Raw genomic sequence first — 22,188 nt, 5'->3', positions numbered from 1 at the left:
TAAGGTTAATAAACTATATGTAGTCTTTCTTTTCTGTCTTTTTTATGTGACAAAGCTGTTTTTTCTTTTTTTATTTTTTATTGAAGTAGAAGATATATATATATATATATATATATATATATATATATATATATGTTCTATTACCATCTAAAGATGGTAAAAATTTACCATCTTTACCATTTTTAAGTATACAGTTAGTTCAGTGGTAATAAATATATTTATATTCTTTTTTCCCCCATTCATCCTCCTTTTCTCCTTTTCGCTCTCCCCTTCCCAGCATCAGATAACCACCAACCTACTCTCTATTTTCATGGGATTTGCTTTTTTATTAATAGCTCCCACATATGAATGAGAACATGCAATATCTAGCTCTCTGTGCTTGGCTAATTTCACTTAATGTCTTCTAGTTGTATCCATGTTGCTGCAAATTACAGAATTCCCTTCTTTTTATGGCTGAATAATATTCCATTGTGTATATATGCCATGTTTTCTTTACTCATTCATTATCCATTGATGGATGCTTAGGCTGATTCCATATTTTGGCTACTGTGAATAGTGCTGCAGTAAACATGGGAGTACAGGTATCTCTTTGATATGTCGATTTCCTTTCTTTTGGATATATACCCAATAGTGGGATTACTGGATCATATGGTATTTCTATTTTTGGTTTTTTGAGGAATTTCCATACTCTGCCCCAAAGTAGCTGTACTTACTTACATTCCCACCAACAGTGTACAAAGGTTCCTCATTCTCTACATCCTCACCAGCATCCGTTATTGCCTGTCTTTTTAATACAAGTCATTTTCTTGTATTTTATTTCTTATATTATTTTTAGAGACAGGGTCTCACTCCATCACCCAGGCTAGAGTATAGTGGTGTGATCATAGCTCACTGTAACCTCAAACTCCTGAGCTCAGACAGTTCTCCCACCTCAGCCTCCTGAGTAGCTGAGACTGTAGGCATGTGCCACTATGCATGGCTAATTTTTTTGATTTTTGGTAGAGATGGCATCTTGCTCTGTTGCCCAGCCTGGTCTTGAACTTCTGGCCTCAAGCAATGCTCCCACTTCAGCTTCCCAAAATGCTGAGATTACGGCATGGGCCATTATGCCCAGTCTTATGTGTCTGTTTTTTTGCTTTTTGTTGTTGTCATTGTTTTTTACCAGTACCATGCTGTTTTGATTACTATAGCTTTATACTAAATTTTGAAGTCAGGTAATGTGATATCTCCAGCCTTGTTCTTTTTACCCTGAATTGCTTTGGCTATTCAGGTTCTTTTCTGGTTCCATCTAAATTTTAGGAGTTTTTTTTCTATTTCTGTGAATAATGTCATTGACATTTTGATAGAGACGCATTGAATCTTTACTTTCTTTAACTCTTACATTAATCTCTTTCTCTTTACCATCAGCCTGTACATATGTTCAAGTCTCTCGTATTTTTTTTTTTTTTTTTTGAGACGGAGTTTTGTTCTTGTTGCCCAGGCTGGAGTGCAATGGCATGATCTTGGCTCACTGCAACCTCTGCCTCCTGGGTTCAAGCAATTCTCCTGTCTCAGCCTCCTGAGTATCTGGGATACAGGTACCTGCCACCACACCCAGCTAATTTTTGTATCTTTAGTAGAGACGGGGTTTCGCTTTGTTGTCCAGGCTGGTCTCGAACTCCTGACCTCAGGTGATCTGCCTGCCTCAGCCTCCCAAAGTGCTGGGATTACAGGCATGAGCCGCCACACCCATCCTCTACTATTTTTTTTTTTTTAAAAGGCCTCAACCTTGTGTCCCCTTTTAGCCACTGTACTATTTCTTTGCTACTAATGTGAGCCACAGTTTTTGAAAACATAACCTACACTTATGACTGACATTTCCTGACTAGTCACTCTTCCTTTTTTAAAAAATATATGTAGTCATATTAAACATATATAACATTTTATAAGTGATCTTAAATTATTCTAATATCAGAAAGGACAGGCTAGCTTATCCTACTATAACAAACAATCCAAAAATAGTCATTTAGAAGAGCAAAGGTGCATATTTATGTATGCTATTAATATATGTTTTTTTTGCAGGTCATCAAAGCCTCTGCTCACTATAGTCACTCAGGGACCCAGACTGGGAAGTCAGCCACCATCTTAAGCATCACCAGTTGCCATACTAGAGGAAAAGAGCATCTCATACTAGAACCTTTTTTTTTTTTTTTGAGACGGAGTTTTGCTCTTATTGCCCAGGCTGGAATGTAATGGCACGATCTCAGCTCACCGCAATCTCTGCCTCCCGGGTTCAAGTGATTCTCCTGCCTCAGCCTCCTGAGTAGCTGGGATTACAGGCACGTGCCACCTCGCCTGGCTAATTTTGTGTTTTTAGCAGAGACAGGGTTTTACCACGTTGGTCAGGCTGGTCTTGAACTCCTGACCTCAGGTGATCCACCCACCTCGCCTCCCGAAGTGCTGGGATTACAGGTGTGAGCCACTGCGCCCGGGCTGCCTGTCTTTTTAATACAAGTCATACACATGTTGTTCATTTAGCTCCTCCCTCAAGTGGGCCAAGAGGTGTAATCTTAGGTGCCCAGAAGGCAAAGGGCTGAAAATAGTGTTTGCACTAATGATACCCACAGTTATATTATGTCACCCTTTCAGGGTGCTAATTCTCAATTTATTGTGTCTACTCCCTCTTGGTGAATGGCTCTCTCGTGTGGTCTTTTGCTTTTTTTAAAAAAATTGCAAGATCATTTTTACTGGGCATGATTGTGGAAGAGTTCCTACAAAATGGCTCTGCATTTGCTTCTGGTGAAGAAACTCAGGGGTTTCACCAGTTGAGGACTTGTTCTTAATGTTTATTTTGTGGTTTGAGATCCTGTATAATTTGTGGTATATAAATTCAGACTCCATATCTATGCATCACATAGGTCTGGGGTTTTAATTTATCACTGGATACAGTGTTCCTATACAGAAGGCAGATGACAAGGTTTCTTGTGTTTTCCAGGGATAGTTTTCCTGGTCCTGGTTTCATGGAGGAGGCAGGCCTTTCCAGGGTCCTTGCTTTATATGGGAATATCAGTTCTGATTCTTTGCCTTCTGTGAACCAGGTTTCTTCCTCCCCATTCATGTGTGGTTCCTCAGCCACTACTCTTTTGGGTCTCATACTTGACGCTTTGGTATTGAGTTCCCTCTTTGTTTCTAGCACCTAGGGATTTTAACATGCTGTTATATCTGACATTAATATGTGTTTTAGTGGGAGGGAGTCCACATCTAAGCTTTAGTCACTGTTGAATCATTTCTTCCCCTACCATAGTGAAGCATTTTTTTTTCAATGGCTTCTAATTGACTTTCATTTTATCAAATCCCAGGAATTCTTTTCAGCCTCTTATCTAACCAGACTTTTTTTTTTTTGCACCATTAAGTATTCCTGAATAAACACTTCTTTTGAAGTGCTCTTCTTCCTTGACTTTTCTGATTCTTTATTACCTTGTAATTGCTTCTTCACTTTAATTCCTGGGGCTTTCCCAAATATATCCACTCACTGAATGTTGATGTTCTTCAAGTTTATGTTCTTTTCCATTGTGGTTTTCTCTACATTCTCTCTTTGTATGATCCCATATATTTTCATGATTATAATTATTACCAAAAGTATGTTTCCAGCCTCAACCTTTCCTTTCCTCATATATTCAGTGGCCTGCTGGACACATGCATTTAGGTACCCCAAACTAAGATTATCTAATTGTGGACTCATTACTTTCCTTTCAAAACTCAGATTCTTTTTTTTCCTTTTTTTTTTTTTTGAGATGGAGTCTCACTGTGTCACTCAGGCTGGAGTGCAGTGGTGTTATCTCGGCTCACTGCAACCTCCGCCTCCTGGGTTCAAGCAATCCTCCTGTCTCAGCTTCCCAGGTAGCGGGATTACAAGCATGCACCACCATGCCTGGCTAATTTTTGTATTTTTAGTAGAGACAAAGTTTCACCATGTTGGCCAGGCTGCTCTCGAACTCCTGATCTCAAGTGATCCACCCACCTTGGCCTCCCAAAGTGCTGGGATTACAGGCGTGAGCCACTGTGCCCGGCCCCATAAATTCTTTATATTGCTTAATGATACCATCATTTACCTGGTCACTCAGATAGGAAACCTGCCCTTTGATCCTGGACTCCTCTTCTGCAGTCCCTCTTCTACTCAGATACTAGGACTTGGTGTTACCTCCTTAATATTTTAAATATCACACCTAGCTCCTCCCTATGTGGAGTAATCTTCTACCTGTTCCTACCACAATACACAGTTAAGTCATCATTTTTCATTTAACAAGTATATATTGGATACTATGTGCCAGGTACTGTGTGGTTGGTGCTGAGGTTACAGTTGTGACTAAGACAGCAAAGTTCCTGACCCCATGGAGCTTTAATCTGCATGTAGGAGAGAGCAAACAAATAAATGTGTAATGTATAATATGATGTTAGAAAATAAGCTAGTGCATTGCAGTAACATTTCATTGTCACCTAGTGGTGATTTAGGCAATTTGCAGTCTTTGTTTATTGGAATGTGAATAAAATCTCTCTTGAAGATTCCATCTATAATTAAAGTTAAATACCAGAACTATAACTATTTATCTGAGTTTTATATGTGCAAAAAATAAATTTACTTCAATTGATTTGGAAGTCTGAACAATTGTTTTCATTACATTGTTGAAATATATTCCTTAAAGAATTTGATTGCATATATTGTTTTATATGATTGCTTTTTATTTAAGCTATATTTAGAAAATGTCCCAGAAGTGGAAATATGTAGTCAATATATACTCCCCCTCAAGAGTATTTATAATTTTCTTTTCATATAATATTTTGTTTTCAGTCCATTCTCTGAAATATCTGTGTAACCTTTCTATAGGTATCTTTAAAATGATTTGAGTGTTTCAGGAAAAAAACAAACTATAGCTACTGAGTTGAGTGAATACTGGAGTACTTAAATCCCATCTCAGTATTTGACAGGAAGGATGTATATTTGGGTGTTTTTTTACCCATTTTATGCTGTTCTTTTGGGCCTGCTACATTTGGTAATGAATCAGTCAACATGTTTCTAAAACCAGCAGCTGAACCATGTAATTAATAACTCTCACTGGGGGAGTGGCAGAACATTGATCTGGGCTTGCTGGGTGAGCTAACTACCATCACACCTGTCCCCATAGTCAAGTTCTGCCAGAAGATGGTGCCAGGTCTTTTGTGGCCTTTGAACACAAACCCGAGTCTTTCCCATAATATCCACATCTTTAAAAGACTCTGGTAGTACTAATGGAGATGAACTTGGCAGTCTGAAATGAGAAGAAAAAAGGATCCTAGCGTCTAACTTATTGCAAGTAAATGGCTTCTCTCTGGTTTCAGTTGTTTCATTTAGATAAATGCTTCTTGGAAGATGAGACAACACCATTTGCATTTATGAATTTAATCATGGTAGTTACAGCTTAACTATCTGGCTTCAGTTTTGTAGAAATATATACCATCATCTACCTCTTCCCCTCCTTTCTTGATCTTGCAGCCATTCTCTGCTGAGCACATTTCAGTAGTTGGAATAGAGAATAACAGGTGTGTCAGGTTAAAATGATGATTAGAGAGACTTCATTTTTTCTCACAGTGAAATGTTAAAGCTCTGTTTTTGTTAGGGAGTTATAGCTGATATTTCCCACTGGCTATGGCTACTCCTGGATAATAGGAAAGGAGCTGTTGAAAATCTGTTGGAATTGCCCTATCAAATGAGTTGGAGCATAAGATAGAAATTATTCCATATTGGCCCAGGGCTGTTCTGGAAAGGCAGTTATAGCATGTTACCATGTAGCCATCTCCTATGCGCAAGTTATGATACCAAATAATTTTGTGGCTATTCCTGAGTAATGTCCCCGCTATATATAATACAACTTAATTTCCTCTTCTAAAAAAATTATTAGCTGAATGGAGAATGTCTTGTAGCTAGTTGACATGGCTAATAATCAGTTGATTAAGGGATCTAGGATAAATGTTTGTAGTCCTGTATATTTTGTTTTTAATCACATGGAATATGGAATACTGAGAGAGAGAGAGAATTTCTGATTCAGGATCCTTTTTAATGGAGAGTGAAATGAAACTTCCCTATCTCATAGCCCTTTTAATGTTTCAAAACATACATTTTCTCATGTTTTCATATGATTGCTTAGGATAAATATTAACATTCCACACATTAGATTGTGGTACGTGGCTCAAAAAGGTTAAATAAATCGCTTAAGGTCACAGATTAATTACTAATCATATGCCACCCTATATTTGTGAATCACTTTACACTTCAGTTAGTAATTCATACATATCCTATTTTTGTTTCTCCTAACAGTGATAGAGCCAGGTATAGACTCCAGTTCTCACATTTCCAGTTTTGTAGCTGTACTTCTGAACCTGGTGTTGGCAAACTTCTTCTGTAAAGGGCCAGATGATAAATACTTTAGGTTTTTCAGGCCCAGTGGACACAACTAACCAACTTTGCCATTGTAGTATGAAAACAGCCATAGATAATAAATAAATAGCTACAGCTGTGTTCTAATAAAACTTTATTTACAAAAATAGGGGTGAGTATGATTTGGCTGACTCCTGCTCTAAACCACTAACTTCCAAACTGCTCCTTACAAAAGGCCTTTTATCGTTCCCATCTGTGTCTCCTTTCAGTCTCCCATGTTTTGAAAGTTGGACTTTGAAACAAACTCAATATTGAATGATAATGAGTGCATACTCCCATGTTTAATTAATTAGAGGCATAAATAAATGATAACCAAAACCAGTCATAGCCATCTTTCTTAAAAGCTGTGATCATTGAGTCAGAAGTAGCTTTGTGATACCCAGAGTTCAATTTCTTATTAAGGGCATAGCCACCTAGCTGATGACTTGAAAATTATATAACTCTCGGCTACTTTACCACTTCTTTCTTTAGCTTCTGTAGTGCCAACCACAGAAAGGGGCCTTCCTTGCCATCAGGTTGTGAGATGAATTCTCTGATGTCTGCATCTCTAGGCTTGCATCTCAGCCACTGTTTCCAGTCACTTAAGGGTTTGTTTGTCAGTCAGATAACTAGAATATAGTTGGCCCACTATATCCATGGGTTCTGCATCTGTGGATTCAACCAACTGCTGTTTGCAGATATTTGAGGGAAAAATAAATGGTTGTGTCTATACTAAATATGTACAGACTTTTTTCCTTTGCTAATATTCTCTAGACAATACAGCATAAAACTATTTATATGGAGTTTACATTAAATTAGGTATTTTAAGTAATCTAGAGATGACTTAGAAGGGAGGGAGGATATACATAGCTTATATGGAAATACTGTGCCATTTTATACAAGGGTCTTGAGCATCCTGGAATTTGGTATCTGCTGGTAAGTCCTGGAAACAACCTCCCACAGATACCACAGATACCTCTTACGGATACCAAAGGATGACTGACTGGACTATATTACATTTGTGAATGTAGATTAAAGTATTTAAATTATAATAATCCCTCTTTTAAGAATAGTAAGGCTAAAAATCTTATGAGAGATGTAGAGTTTTAAATTTTGAAATATAACAAATGGATAAATAAACAAAAGAATGCCTAAATAGTCTTTTCAATTTATGTCATCCAGGACATTAAAAAGAAAAACCTCACACTGAAGTGGTCAGCGTGAGTAATCAGAATGGCTGTACTGTGCTGATAGAATTCTGGGAACAGCAAAGAAATGTGACTTTTTGTTAGACTGCATAGTTTTTCCTAGAGAAACTATATTTCCTTTTGAAATATTGAAAATGGTTTATGTATCTCCATGACTGTCCTGGGACTGAGATTTGCCAATTGCTTACATTAGACACCTCTCTAATGTGTAGAATTAATTTCTTAGTTGGGTGTTAATTGAAATTTTATATGTAAGTAGCTGAGAGTCCTCATTTTAATCACAATAAGAGGAGTGAAATCCTCAAAGAAGCTGCTCTGAGGAACAGTGGATTGGTCTCAACATGAAACAGTGAATGGCTGGTCTTCAGGCCCGACCTCTGAGGTAATGTCTCAGAACTGAGTTTTCAATAAAATAGATAAAGAATTTTTATTAAGTTTCCTGAGCTGGAAACACATCCATCCTCTCATTTTGCTGGACAATATGTTTGCCATTAAGGGCCTGCCCGTCTCAGGGAGAGCTCAAGGCAACGTGGAGGGCATGCAACCCTGCCTCAGGGGGAAGTGAAGCTTGCCTGAATCCCAGTTGCATTACAGGTCCTGGTGGAGGTGCTGACCTTTTGCCCTTGTCCTTGGGAAATTCATCAGTTCCTAGAGCTACTAGAGATTGCAAGACATTATCTCATTCAGCCCTCTGACTCCAAGTAGGAATTCACTTAAATTATCTCTGGCAAAGGAGAATGTCCTCATGTACTACTAGTATAATTAAAAATTAATTTTAAAGATTTTAAATCACCTGTGGGAGATTTTGTTCTACCTATTCCTAAGATCTGTAGGGATAGTGAGTTGCCTTGCTATCCTATGAGAAGTGATGATAATTAGAGCTTACATATATTGAGCATTTTTTTTCCTGCGTGCCAGATACTGAAATAAAGACTTTCTGTGCATTCACTTATTTAATCCTCAGAGCTACCCAGTGGGGCAGATACTGTTCTTGTCCTCATTTTACAAATAAGAAGACTCAAGGTCACAACTCCCAAGTGACAGAGTGGGGATTTGAAACACTGGCTTGTCTTCCTCTAAAAGCTGTGCTCTCGACCTCTGGGTTATTCTGTCTCCCCCAGTTATGGTACTCGCTTTGTCTTCTTATTGTGGTTCTCTTCAGGGGATACATTATTATTAGGGTATATAAAGAATTATATAATACAGTACAAATCGAGGGATTTGGAGGATTAAGGAATTAATGCTATTCCTCTGAGTCCTACCTGTTATTAATTAACATGTGCAGTAAGTATTTACTCACATGATAAAGCTGCTATACAAGGAAGCAGTTTGTATGGTTCTGTATTTCCCCCCCTGCTAAATGCCCCAATACTGCTTTAAGTTTTAGTTTGTTCTTATTATGTGGAAAAGGGGAGAAATTAGGCCAGTGAATTACCAAGCCCTCACGGAAAGAGGTAGGAAACAAACTTGCAAAAAACGATGACTTGAAATAAGAGTGTAGACCTTTATTCTTGGCCCCATAGATTAGCCCTATAGTTTTACAAGATATTTTGGGCAGGATATTTTCTATCTGCTTGAGTAAGCAACTCCATTGTGGCTTCAGTAGGTGTGTATTATGAAGGACAGAGCTGCAATCAGCAAAGTGGTATCATATTCCAAGTTTTTCCTCCTCTTTCTTAACTATTGAACTGGAAAAAAAAATTAGCCACTTATTTAGGTAGTGTATGATGTAGGGTGCATATTGGTTATCTTCACAATATTTTTTTAGTTGTCAGTGTTAAGAATTGTATTCTGTTTTAAATTCTAACATCCTCCTTAATTTAAGAGCACCTTTGGAATTAACTCTTATTTTTCCATGATGAAGAAGAGCCTGAGAAAGTAGTGGAGAATAAGGTAAATTCAGCCCCCAGCCTGGCCCCTAGTTTCCAGGCTGGCTACAGTGAGAACTGTCAAGGAGATAGATAGGGGCTCTAAGGTTTCCTGGAGTTTTCAGCCATGTGTGGGCACCACATGTGGTGTGTTCAGTGAATACAAATACAAGAACACATGCTGTTTCCATTAGGGACACTTCAGACCCCTCTCTGTCCCCAGCCTTACTGCAGAGTTGAATGGGTCATTTATCATAGGCCACTTACTAATACTGACTGGGCTTCAGGCCCTGCTGCAAGTAAGCAGCAAACAGTGTGACTGAGTTCTTTTAGAATGTTTATCACACTATGATATTGTTTGTTAACAATTCACAATTCATTTGCAAAGAAGGGGTTTACTAGCTGCTTCTAAAAGGGATTTTTTTTGTATTAAAAATGCAAATCTGACCATGTGCCTACCTTACTTAAACCCTTCAATGACTCATGGTAGGTAGTCAAAACCATTCAAGATGGGATCCTCCCTTCTCTGCAGCCTCATCCCCTTCTGTTATCTCTAGAAAGCTTAACTGCTTTTAGTTCTCCACATATATCATATACATTTTAGCCTTTTCTTGACCTCTGTTTGTTTTGTTGACAAGGCCTTTCTCTGCCTTCTTTGTCAAGGTAAAGTATTCTCATTCTATAAGAGTTAGGTCAGACATCACCTCCCTTTCCCCCAGCAAAGCTTCTCTATTTCTCTTCCCCCAGTCTGGGCTTGGTATCCTCTGTGTGCTCAGAGAATGGTGAGATGTCGTCTGTTATAGGTAGCTCTGATCCCACTGTAGTGAAGCAATCTGTTTCCATCTCTGTCTCACGGTATAGCAGCCTAAAGGCTCGACTACATCTCTTTTCTCACCTACCCTTGGGTGCCCAGCCCAGTGCCTCAAGCAGCGTAGGGGCAGCCAATAGTGATTCTTGAGCTGAGTTGAACTGTAAGCAACTCTCAGCTTCACTCAGGCAGTCGCATATGATTCTCATTATATTCCTTATCCCAGTGACTTACACACCCACACCATGAGAAAGTTCATGCTGAAGAGCTGGCTGGCAGTGTGACTCCCTCAATTTTCTGTGATTGAAGAGCCCAGATATACAAACTGTACAATCTGTTTTCCTTCTTGAATGTTGTCACTAGAGACACTCTTTATTGAGTGTTGTCCCTGGCAGTCCTAGCAGGCACCCAGCAGCCGCATCATCTATTGCTTATACTTATGAAAAAAGTAGTGTCTTAGAAAGAATGCCACGTATCTTGATCTTAATCATTTTTCTTTTATATTTGGCGTAACTGCCCAGGGTCAGACAGATCTTGCCCTCAGGTAGGGCTCTAGTAGAAGTTTCCCATTGCTTTAGTGTGTGCTTGCATGCTGTTTACTTTCAAGAAATGCATTTTTTTTTCCTAACCAGGTGTTGGGGTGTATAGATCTTCCTTTAAAAAGCCATTTTCATTGAAGTGTAGCACATCCCCATCTCTTATTCTGCCTTATTTTTACGAATTTATGATGCTGGGTCTTCCTTCTTCTTGACATTTTTTCAAGAGGCCCCATAGCACACTAAGAATAATAGGAGCTTTGAAGTCAGAGACCTGGGGTGAAAGCTGAACTACACCACTTACTAGATTGTGGTCTTCGGTCTGTTACTTAGCCCCGTTGATCCTCAATTTTCTCATTTGAAAATGAAGATAGTTCCTTTGTCATTAGGTTGGTATGAGGATTCAGTGAGGTAATTTATATATGTAAGGTGCCAAATACTTGGTCACTGTGATCATTACCACATGCAGCTATGCTAGGGTCTATTCCTAGCATAGTTGCATAAAATACTGACACATGAAACAAGTAGCAATATAAGATATTACATGAAAAGTATTAAGATTAGCTTCTCAAAGAATCACAGAGTGTTATAGACCAGAAAAAAGCCTTAGAGTCCATCTAGTCTAGCCTCTTTATTTTACAGATTCAGCAAACATTTCTTGAATACCTGTTTTATGCCAGACCTTGGGGTGGTGTGTTGGCATATCATAACTCATTCAAACCTCAAAACAGCACTGATGTAGATATTTCTATTCTCTATTTTAGAGATGAGGCCAAATGATCTACTCAGTAAGTGGAAAAGGAGGATTTAAACCCAGGTCTCTTGTGTACAAATGCTATGTTCTTTCTATTATTAAACATTGTATTCCTTCGTTTAACAAATATATAAATGTGTAGTATGTGTAAGGGACGATGTTGGGCTCTTAAAGATGAAGTTTTTCTACCATTAAAGCTAAGAGTAAATAAGAACAGAGCTCACTGTTTACTTTTAGCTTCATGGAAGATGTATACTTAAGCTTCCCTTTGAAGGATGGGTAAGAGTTTGATAGAAGAACATAGGAAGCATTTCAGATGAAGTAATAGCATAAGTCAGGAAACAGGAAAATTCAAGACGTATTCATGAATATTTACTGTCACTCTTTGATTGCAGTGAAAAGTTCGTATAGGGGGCTAAGATTGGAAAGGAGCCTGATTGTGAAAGGTCTTACTGGCCAGGTTGAAGAGCTTGACCTTTGTTCTAGAGGCAGTGGTAAATGTTAATTTGTCTGTAGTGTGGTGAGTCATTGAAAGCAGTCTCATTAGCTTGATCCAACATTAAAGACAAAAGTGCCAATGAGAAAGACTACAATGTTTAACATTTATTTGTGAATTGCATTTTTTTAGTGCATCATGTGAAACGCATAGGGTACTTTGGCTAAGAACATTGTAATTATAGCTCATAAGTTTGCAGTATAGTGAAATGTTCATTTCTTTTGTGATGTTTTGGAGTCCACCCTAAAAAATAGGATTTAAGTTCTGAGTATACCATTTATTAACAGTGTGACCTTAGATTCAGCCTCCTCATCTATAAAACTGGGAAAATCATTAATATGTGTGTACCTCCTTACTTTACAGAATTGGCCTAAGGATGAAATAGAGTCATTACCATGTGCTGGTAAATAATGGTATTGGTATTATTGTAATTGTTAATAATAGGAGCTGCATACTCTTCCTGCGGCATTTTGGTTTTATATTAGTTGAAAGTCTATGATTTTGCCTCCATTATAAAGCATGAGAAACTGTTAAGATAGTTATTCAATTTTCATGCATCCGTTAAATAAAATTTCTGCTTCTAAACATTATCAGAATCCCAAAGGGAAGCTACTGTTCCCTACCATTTGTGAATATAAGCATGACTTCTGAAAAACAACTCTCCACAATATAAAAATGAAAGTCTGGCTCTGCTTTATCTCTCCACATTCTGTTCTAGCTGGCTCTAAGGGCATTTGAATGATAACTGCTTTCTTTCTGAATACATAATGTTTCTACTTGAACTTATCTTGCTTGTAGGCATGACACAAGCAACATGAAGGCTGGGCACTTGCAGTAGACCTCCTTCTAGGTGTATGTGGATGGCCAGCTAGATCACTTTCACTTCACTGAGCTGTGAAATTGACACCAAATTGTGCTATTAGCTTGTTTCTGAAGGGTATGTTGTGCTGGATATTTTCTTCTTGCTTGCACGGTACATGAAAAAAGATGACAAGATAAAAATGTCCCATAAATGAACATGAGCAAGAAAATTTAGATGTAATTTGTCATGAATTAAAAACATTGAATAATGGATCAAAAGCCCCTGGAAGCAGAGGTGCTGAGAATTCAGAGCAGCCGTTTAGTACTCGAGGAAGAGAAAATACAGAGCTTTAGGTTTCTTTTTTGAAGCTTATTTGCCTTCTTTATACCCTGATAGCAAGAGAACAATTTCTGAAGTCAGTTAAGTCATTCAAGAGCACTTGCCTATCAGTTCACTGATTTAGATATAGCAGTGTGTTTTCTTGAGTTTTTTCCTTCTATATAGTTGAATCATCCTTGGCCTACCTTCTGATTAGAAAATCAAGATACATTATTTCTCAGTAAATTATTTTCCTCATATTTGAAAGGAGACGAAGGGTAGCTGTAAATGTAGTGGTTGAAGGAGGTTTCTCTGAGTGGAATCCATGTTGTCTTTATGAAAGCATTCTGTGTGTTAAAGCAGTGGCTGCTCTCCATCTAGTCTTTGCCTTTTCCCTCTGTTCTTCTCCTAGAGATCTACTTAATTCATTCTGTCACTCCCCTCAGGCTTTTACTCAAACCCGCCCAACTCTGCCTGTCCTCCTTCCTTACTACTTTATTTTCCCCTCAGATCCTACCACTGGTCTAACTTATTGCCATGTTTATTGACTCTTGGCATATATATTTTTCACATTTTAGCATTTCTGAAATAGATATATCTAATAATCAGTGACATCTTAGATTCTGCAAAATAAATATGTATAATTTATTTTCCTTACTGTCTTTTTCTCACCTCTAAAATCTAAGCTCCATAAGGACAACGATTTCTCTTCATGTTGTGCGTTCTGTATCTTTAGTGCCTGTAACAGTGCTTACCACATAGTAAGTGTTCAGTACATATTTGTTGAATGAATCAAATGAACTGTCTGTGTTCAAGGAAGTTGGGGGACAGCTATTCTACATTTATTTCTCTATCCTTATGTCCTCTCCCCACCTTCCACTCCTTTTACCTTTTGCCTGCTTGTTTTTTCTGTGTCAGAGGACATTCTCATTATGCCTGGACCCCATCCCACCCCACATGCCACTAAAGCAGTGAGGCTTACAGTAGCTATCTAATCCACGTTCTCTAAAACTCAAGCCTCAAACTCTTAAGAATTTCGCTGCTGGGCCAGATCTTACTTTATCTAGCTCTGTAGTCTGTAGTTCATGATAGCATCAAAACTCACACAGTGTAAGGGGAGTACTTTTCAAACTCCCTGTGGTTAAATACCAGTCTTAAATTTCTAATCCATCACAGATTAGCACTTTTGTAAAATACAAATAAAAACACACAGAAAAACGAAAAAAAAAAAGGGAAAAAAAAGAGCCAAATATGAAAACTCCAGGTTTTTTTGTTTTGTTTTGTTTTGTTTTGTTTTGAGACGGGGTCTCCCTCTGTCACCCAAGCTGGAGTGCAGTGGCATGATCATGGCTCACTGCAACCTCTGCCTCCTAGGCTCAAGCGATCCTCCTGCCTCCCAAGTAGTTGAGACTACAGGTGTGTGACAGTGTGGCTGGCTAGTTTTTTTTTTTTTTTTTTTTTTTTTTTTTTTTTTTTTTTGTAGAGAGGGGGTTTTGCCAGGTTGCCCAGGCTGGTCTCAAACTCTTGGGCTCAAGCAATCCACTTGCTTTGACCTCCCAAAGTGTTGGGATTAGAGGTGTGAGCCACTGCGCCTGGCCCAGTTTTTTTTTTTTTTTAATTATTAGATTAAATAGATTAAAATGACTCTGTCAGATTGATTTTTAAAGGATTTTAAATATTTACTCTCATTTTCTGTACCTATCTTGTCACAGACCAGTAATAGTTTGCACATCAGCACCATTCTACATACTTTGAGAGACAGTGTATCAGGTCATGCCTGCCCAATTTGATGTCAATTTAATTTTAACGTGTCATCTAAAATGAATCTGCTTATTATTACTTCCAGCCTCTTTCATATTATTGGTCACAGACATTAAGTAAAATTGAAACTTATTTAATCCAGTCAGCACCAGTAATTAGTTGGTTAATGGAAAAAAATCTTTTAAAATAGAAATTATAACAAAGATATATACATATTCAAACATATTATTTCAATTAAACATAAAAAAACACTGACCCAATAACCTTAAGATATAGAACAAATGACTTTTCTTTAATTCAAGGCTTAGAGTTCTGTAAAATAATTCCTGCATAAACCACGTCCATTTACAATTTCATTTTCTTCAAAGAGTTGTAAAAATTGAGTGCATCACTTAAAAAGAAATCTAAGTGTACAACCTCTCTAGATTTTTATGGCTTTTTCTAATATTTTATAATTATTTTACCTATATCAAATTTGCCTCAGATTCATTGTCTTTTGAAAGTATTCACTGTAGTTTTTAGAGAAACAAGAGCTTTTTTCCTACACTTGTAGTTCATCAGTTTCTGTCAGATGGCATAATTACTGTAACAAGTAAATGTGATATAAACTTATTTGGGAGCGGTCATAACAGACTCTTGGTAAAGTGTACCACCCACTCCATTAGAAGGAGTAAAGGGCCGGGGAATGCTGGAGAGTAGACACTAGTCACAGGTAATTGGTGTGCTGTGGCGCCAGGCAGTGTATTCCACTGAGGGAACAAAAAGCAGAGGCTATCTGTGAGTTGTTATGAAGATCCCCCGAAATAGTTTCTGCTATGTCATTTTACTTACCAATGCTTCTTTTCTTATCTTCAAAGTATCACTTTTAAGCTTCTTGTAGTACTCCTAGAATTCTGTTGAATGAGTCTTTTTTTGGCCATCTCTTTATGATTAGAAATGCTTCATTTATATCCTTACTTAGCATTTTTATTTACAAAAAAAGCCTGATATTTTTTAGTGTATAACCACAAAACACATCCTAATTCCTTATTTTATTTCCCTTTCTCTATACTTCCTCTAGTTTCATTATCACTTTGTTACATTGTCATAACCAAACTACTTCAAGTCCCATACCTAAAGCATGAGGGAGTAAGAAGCCTATTTTTGTAACTTTTTATTTTTATATAATTCCGAACTTACAAAAAAGTTGTAAAATTAGTATAAAGAACTGCTGTGTACCCTTTACCCAGATTCAATAATTATTTTCCCCATTTGTTTTACCATATTTTCTCTCTCTATATATATTTTTAATCTCGAACCATTTGAGGGTAAATTACATACAGTTGCCTTTTGCCCCGAAATACTTAAATTTGTATTTATTGAGAATAAGGGTATTCTCTTACATAATCATAGTCCAGTTATCAAATCCATAGCTCATACTCAAATTTTATATTAATATTAAATAAATTATCCCAGTAATGTTTGATCTGCTATTTTTCCTTGTCCAGGATCCAATCCAGGATTAGATTTTGCATTTAGTTTTCATGTCTGCTTAGAACCTCAGCCATTCTTTGTGTTCCTTGACCTTGACACTTTTTAAGAATACAGGCCATTTATTTTATAGAATATTCCTTAATTTGATTATCTAAGTTTCTTCATGATTAGATCCTCGTTTTCCATTTTGGGGGCAAAAATACTACAGAAGTGATACTTATTCTTCTCAGTACATCTTATCAAGAGACGCATGGTATTGGGGTGCTTCATACCTGGGGAAATGAACTTTGATTATGTGGTTCAGGTGGGGTCTGCCAGGTTTCTCTATCGTGAAGTTACTATTTTTTCCTTTTGTAATTTATTAGTTATTTGTGGGGAGGTATTTTGAGACTAGACTTTGTGCATTTTCTGTTCCTTCCTTCTATATTGATGTTTTACCAGAAAGAGCTTTCCCTTTTCCACCATTTATTTATTCATTTGTATCAGTGTGATCTCATGAATTATTTTATTTCTTATTTTGCTAAATGGGTTAAAGGACTATTTCTATTGTTATTTAATTTGATTTGCTACTCAAATTGTCCCAGACTGGGAGTCCTTTTAAGCTAATTACTACATTCTTTTGACTTGTCTCCATTATTCTTTGAGCATTTATTTACTTTCTGGTGCAGCAAGATGTTCCGGCCTTATGGTTTGCCTTCCCTGCCCAGGTCCCACAAGCTGCCATTTCTGTAGTTAGCCCTGGTTCCCTTTAAGGGAGAATGGTTTAGAAATCAAGATCTCTGTGCTAGGTGTGCTAATTTCTAATGAGGTATCAATGTTTTGGGGTCCTCTCTGGAGACTAAGCTAGGGAAAAATACATATTTATACATGTATACATGTATTTGTGTGTATATAGATGTATACAGATATATACATATGTATACCTATAGATACATGTTTATATATACATGTATGTATACACCATTTATATACATATATCTGTAGCTATTTCTGTATTATATTTTTAAAAAGTATTAAAGATTGTGAATCCTTATAGATACCCCCAATTCCAATTTAATACCACAGCAGAATTCTTTCTAGTCTTCTTCTTTCTGTATGTGTCATTCCCTTCTCCAACAGTGAGGAACATGACTTTCTGTTATTCTCTGTATATTATCTCAGTCCTCTAATATACAGAATATGGTTTCAGAAGTACTAATTCATACCACTGTAAAACAAACTCCCTAACACATTCAGTATTTCCTAAGGATTGTTTTTGTCTTTGCCTGAGGGCACATAGTCAAAATACTGGGTTGAAAAGTTTCTTGGGTTAGTTCTTATTCTTTAATATGATTCTATTACTCATTTGAAATACAGTCAGATTCATTCATTTCTGTCATCTAGTGGACAGAGGTCAGGGATGCTGCTAAGCATCCTACAATGCACAGGACAGCTCCCACAACAAACAATTATTTATTCCCAAATGTCAGTAGTGACATTGTTGAGAAACCCTGGTCTAGAAGCAATGAGAGATGATGAGGGAATGAGAGGTAAGTCTAAAGAAGATTAGATCTCCTTCAGGGCAGTTCCTTCAGGAAAGGCTGTTACAGATTCTTAGGCAAGTAGAGACCAACCCTTGGGGGCTCAAGGTCCTCATCTTCATCAGAATATGCCCATATGTCTCCATCCCTTTTTTCAAGCCCCATTCCTTTCTAATCAATGTTTCCTGTGAGAGCCTGGTAGAGTTCCTAGGGGAAAAAAACCCAAAAAACCTACATGAGAGCAATAACCTCTCTGTGTCTGTGTTCTCCATAGGCTTCATGCTCTCATGCTAGACTATGTTAAGCCTTTGGCATTTGGTAAAACTGTTTTGTTTAATCTTCCTAGTGGCTTTTATGATATTTAGCAGCACCTATCTCAGGTAAGCAAATGCTCATTCTGTCTGTAGTTGCTTGCTTCTCTATATATTTTAGGTTAGTTATCTACCCTGTGACTTCACTTCTCTGATGGATTTAAGAAAAGTCATTGATTTGTACTTTGTCCAGCTTTTTTTCTTCTTGTACGGTAGAGTGGTGCTCTTTCCAGTTTTATATTTCCAAGCTGAAATAAAAAGTCACTGGTCATATTTTAAGTTCTCAATAGCCACATGTGGCTATTGGCTACCATATTGGACAAAGAAGATTGTAGAATATGTCCATTATTGCAGAGTTCCGTTGAACAGAACTGTTAGAAGGGAAATTGAAGCAAAAGGAAAGAAAAGTAAAAATTCTGCTTTGTTCATGATGGAATAACTAGTCCTTCCACTGTAAACAACTACAACATTGGTCAGTATATATGAAAATACTGTTTTCAGACCTGAGCAAATCACGCAGAACTGTGATCCCTGACAGAAGGGAAATAGAGCATTGAACCTTACAGTTACTCTGTTTCTACCTAGAATACTTTGCAGGTCATGTCGTAAGGAGAGGAACCTCATAGAGCACAATGGTTTCATTGAGTTGAGGAAAAATACATATTAGTTTGGGGAGTCTGAACCATCTGGAATTTGTGGAACAGAGACAGGAAGGGGCAACAAAGAGAAAGACCTCCAGAAATCTATATGTGAGTCCTCTTCACTGTTTGGGTGAATACTGTGCTATACTTGTGTGAGGTTAGTTTCCACAAAGCCAGGCAAAAAATAATTATTGAGGGAAAGAACAACTACCTGGGAGTTGAACAACTACTAGAACTACCACATGGCCAGATGGAAAGACCTTGTTGAACACCCAGGACATTTAATAGAGACCCTAAAAAGGCTGTATCTTAGAAGTAGAACTAAACAGCCCTGGTAAAGGCTATGCTCAACTCATCCTTAAAAAACTTAAAAACAAGTCTTAGAATAGGCTGATTTGCAAGTAAATGACACAGATGATGGAATTAACAGACAAGTACTTTAAAACAGATATTATAAACATTTTCAAAGATTTAGAAGAGAACATTTGATAGAATATAAAAGAACTGGAAGCTCTGTGAAAGAACCAAATGAAACTTCTGGATTGGAAAAATACAATTTCAGAAATGAAAAATGACTGGATGGGCTTAAAAAGAGATTAGATACAGCTGAAGAAAAGATCAGATAACCTAAAGATGCATCAGTAGAAAACATCCAAACTGAAGCAAAGGAAAAAAGACCAAGGAAAATTAATAAAACCTCAGTGATCCATTGGATACTATTAGGTAGACTAGAATATATGTAATTGAATTCCCAGAAAGTGGGCATACAAATATTTGAAGAAATAATGATGAAGGAATTTCCTAATATGAAATTTACATACCCAAAGAGCTGTCAACCCCATTCGTGCAGTAAAAACATAAAGTAAGTCACAACTAGGCACAACATAATCAAACTACTGAAAATAAATGATAAAAGAGAGAATCTGAAGAACAGCCAGAGAAACTACATTACATAAAGAGGAACAAAGATAAGAATGAGTACTGACTTCTCATTAGAAGCAATACAAGCCAGAGAACGATGGGATGATATCTTGGTAATGTTAAAAGAAAAACTCTCCCCCCAGAATTCAGTATCTAGCAAAAATCTGCTTCAAAAATAGAGGTGAAGTCAACATTTTCAGCAAAGGCTGAGAAAAATTACTGCCAGCAGATTTGCACTAAAGAACTATTAAAGGAATTTTTTCAGGTGGAGGGAAAATGATACCAGAAACTTGATTCTATACAAAGGAAAGAAGGGAGGCCAAAATTTAAATATGTAGATAAATATAAGTGATATCCCTCATTTTTTCATGTATTTTGAAGATTTTATTTAGAAGATGTTTGACTAGGTAACACAGCAGTGATAACAGTATATTGTGGGGCTTATAACATGTTTAAAAACAATACATTACAATAATAGCTCAAAGAATAAGAGGGAGAAATGAAAGTACATACCGTTGTAAGATTCTTACATTATACATAAAGCAGTTAATATTATTTAAAGGTAGACTGTACTAATTTAAAGATGTGTACTGTAAACCCTAGCAGTCTTTCTCAACTGGAGTTCCTTATTTCAACCATGAAACACAGAAAATGATTTGAGTAACTGCTGTCTCAATTCTCCTAAGAATGGAATGTAACCAGTACTATTCTAGGATGCGTGGGAGAGGGGTTAGATCACAACATGCAGTGGACACGTTAGGACATTATTGTTTAATTCTATCATAGAATCTCAGTTGAAGAGGGCTGTGGAGAGCAACCATTGAGAAAGAAAAAGGGAGAGAAAAGGGTGGGGAGAGAGCAAGAGAGAGAGAGAATGCACCAGCGAGCGAGAGCACATGAACAAGAACACAAAGTCAATAGAGGAGATAAAATTAGATCCTAAAAAATGCTCACTTGATCCAGAAGAAGGCAGGATAAAGAGGGGAAAAAGGAACAAAGGAGAAATGGAGTTCCAGGTTTTAGTCAGCCATTACTTTAATCAGGTAATTACTTTGGGAGAGGCCATTATAGGTTCTCAGGCAAGGAAAGATTAACCTTTAGGGGTTTGAGGTCCTCAGCTTCATTAGAATTTGCTTGTATGTCTTTATCCTATTTTTCAGAGTTCCATTCCCTCTATTTCTTAATTAGTTTTCTGAAATCTTGAACCTGTGGCTTCAGAAGATAAGGACATCTTTCAGGACAATCATAGAGAAGCTTTCTGGTTCCTTTCTCTGAACGTACGCTGGAATTTAAAGTGTTGAGATAATAATTTTCTTTTCCTCAAGTTCTCCAGCATGCTTAGGAAGCAGTTGACCAAGCCCATATCCTTAAACTCTATTTCCACTAACATGTACTGTTGTACAATGGCATCAGCGTCTTGGTCACCCGAAGCTTTGCAGTTTATTGGCACTTGACTTCAGGTGACTACAGGTAATACTTGTATTATCTGTTTGTCACTGTATGCCACCTATTACCAGTGTCCTATTTATCACTATCAATAGGGTCATGAATGCCTTTAAAGACTTAAGTCTAGGCAGATCAAAGAACCAATTCCAGATTCCCATCCTTTTCATTCTTTACCTTGGAACTCTACTCCGAACACCAATAATAATATCGGTCATGCAAGCAAATTCACTATACATGTTACAGGATAAGGAATTTAATACAGGATGGACATTATGCAAATGTGGGAATAGCTAAAGAAATGAAAGTTCAAAAGAGGGTGTTGGAGGATCAATGCAAAAGTCACCAATCTCTCTTCCTGAAGCTGGTGCAAGTGGACAAACTGGAGCTGGCAGAAAAACCTGAGAAGCCAAGCATGTCTAGCTGCGGAACTAGGATTGTGAAGGTGGTGTGTGGAGGGGATCTGTGGGGAAGATGTTGCTTCCATGTAATCATTACGAGGCATTTGGTGATGGACCTGGGACTGCTGTTGGTCAGCAAGATCAGCAGTCACCTGGAGAAAGATGAAAAACTGGAACTTACCAGGCACCATCACATTAGTCAATGAAGACTCTTAGAAAGCAGTAGCTGCTATTTCACTTCCACCTCCCAAGTTTCTTAAAAGTTCGTCTATTGGCATATTCTAACCTGAAACCATACAAAGAAGAGGGTTCCAGGAATTGTAGTTCCAACTTAACGAAGTTAACAATAGAACAGTTACATGGTTTCAGTTTTTACATTTTAATCTATGATCCATTTGGAGTTTATCCTTGTGTATAGTAGGAGGTATGGATCTAATTTTTATCTTTTCCCAAAGACTATTCAGTTTTCCCCATCAACCTTTATTAAAATCTGCTTC

General features: G+C 37.3%; 1 protein-coding gene across 11 annotated transcripts in view, besides 1 other annotated feature; it reads left to right on the top strand.

The window, feature by feature from the left end:
* TTC28 (tetratricopeptide repeat domain 28) overlaps positions 1 to 22,188 on the top strand; it is a 701,827-nt gene that overhangs the window by 421,967 nt on the left and 257,672 nt on the right. The window lies entirely within an intron of this gene.
* Positions 9,464 to 10,088: an enhancer, noted in NCBI's record as "NANOG hESC enhancer chr22:28643774-28644398 (GRCh37/hg19 assembly coordinates)". NCBI's record gives its function as "activates a minimal SCP1, AML or CMV promoter by ChIP-STARR-seq in naive H9 embryonic stem cells {active_cell/tissue: H9 hESC(naive)}" and the evidence as "EXISTENCE:reporter gene assay evidence [ECO:0000049][PMID:30033119]".

This window comes from Homo sapiens, chromosome 22 (genome assembly GCF_000001405.40).
Source record: "Homo sapiens chromosome 22, GRCh38.p14 Primary Assembly".
Lineage (NCBI taxonomy): Eukaryota > Metazoa > Chordata > Mammalia > Primates > Hominidae > Homo > Homo sapiens.
The sequence above is the reverse complement of the archived record's forward strand: the minus strand, read 5'-3'. Positions and strand labels throughout refer to the sequence as shown.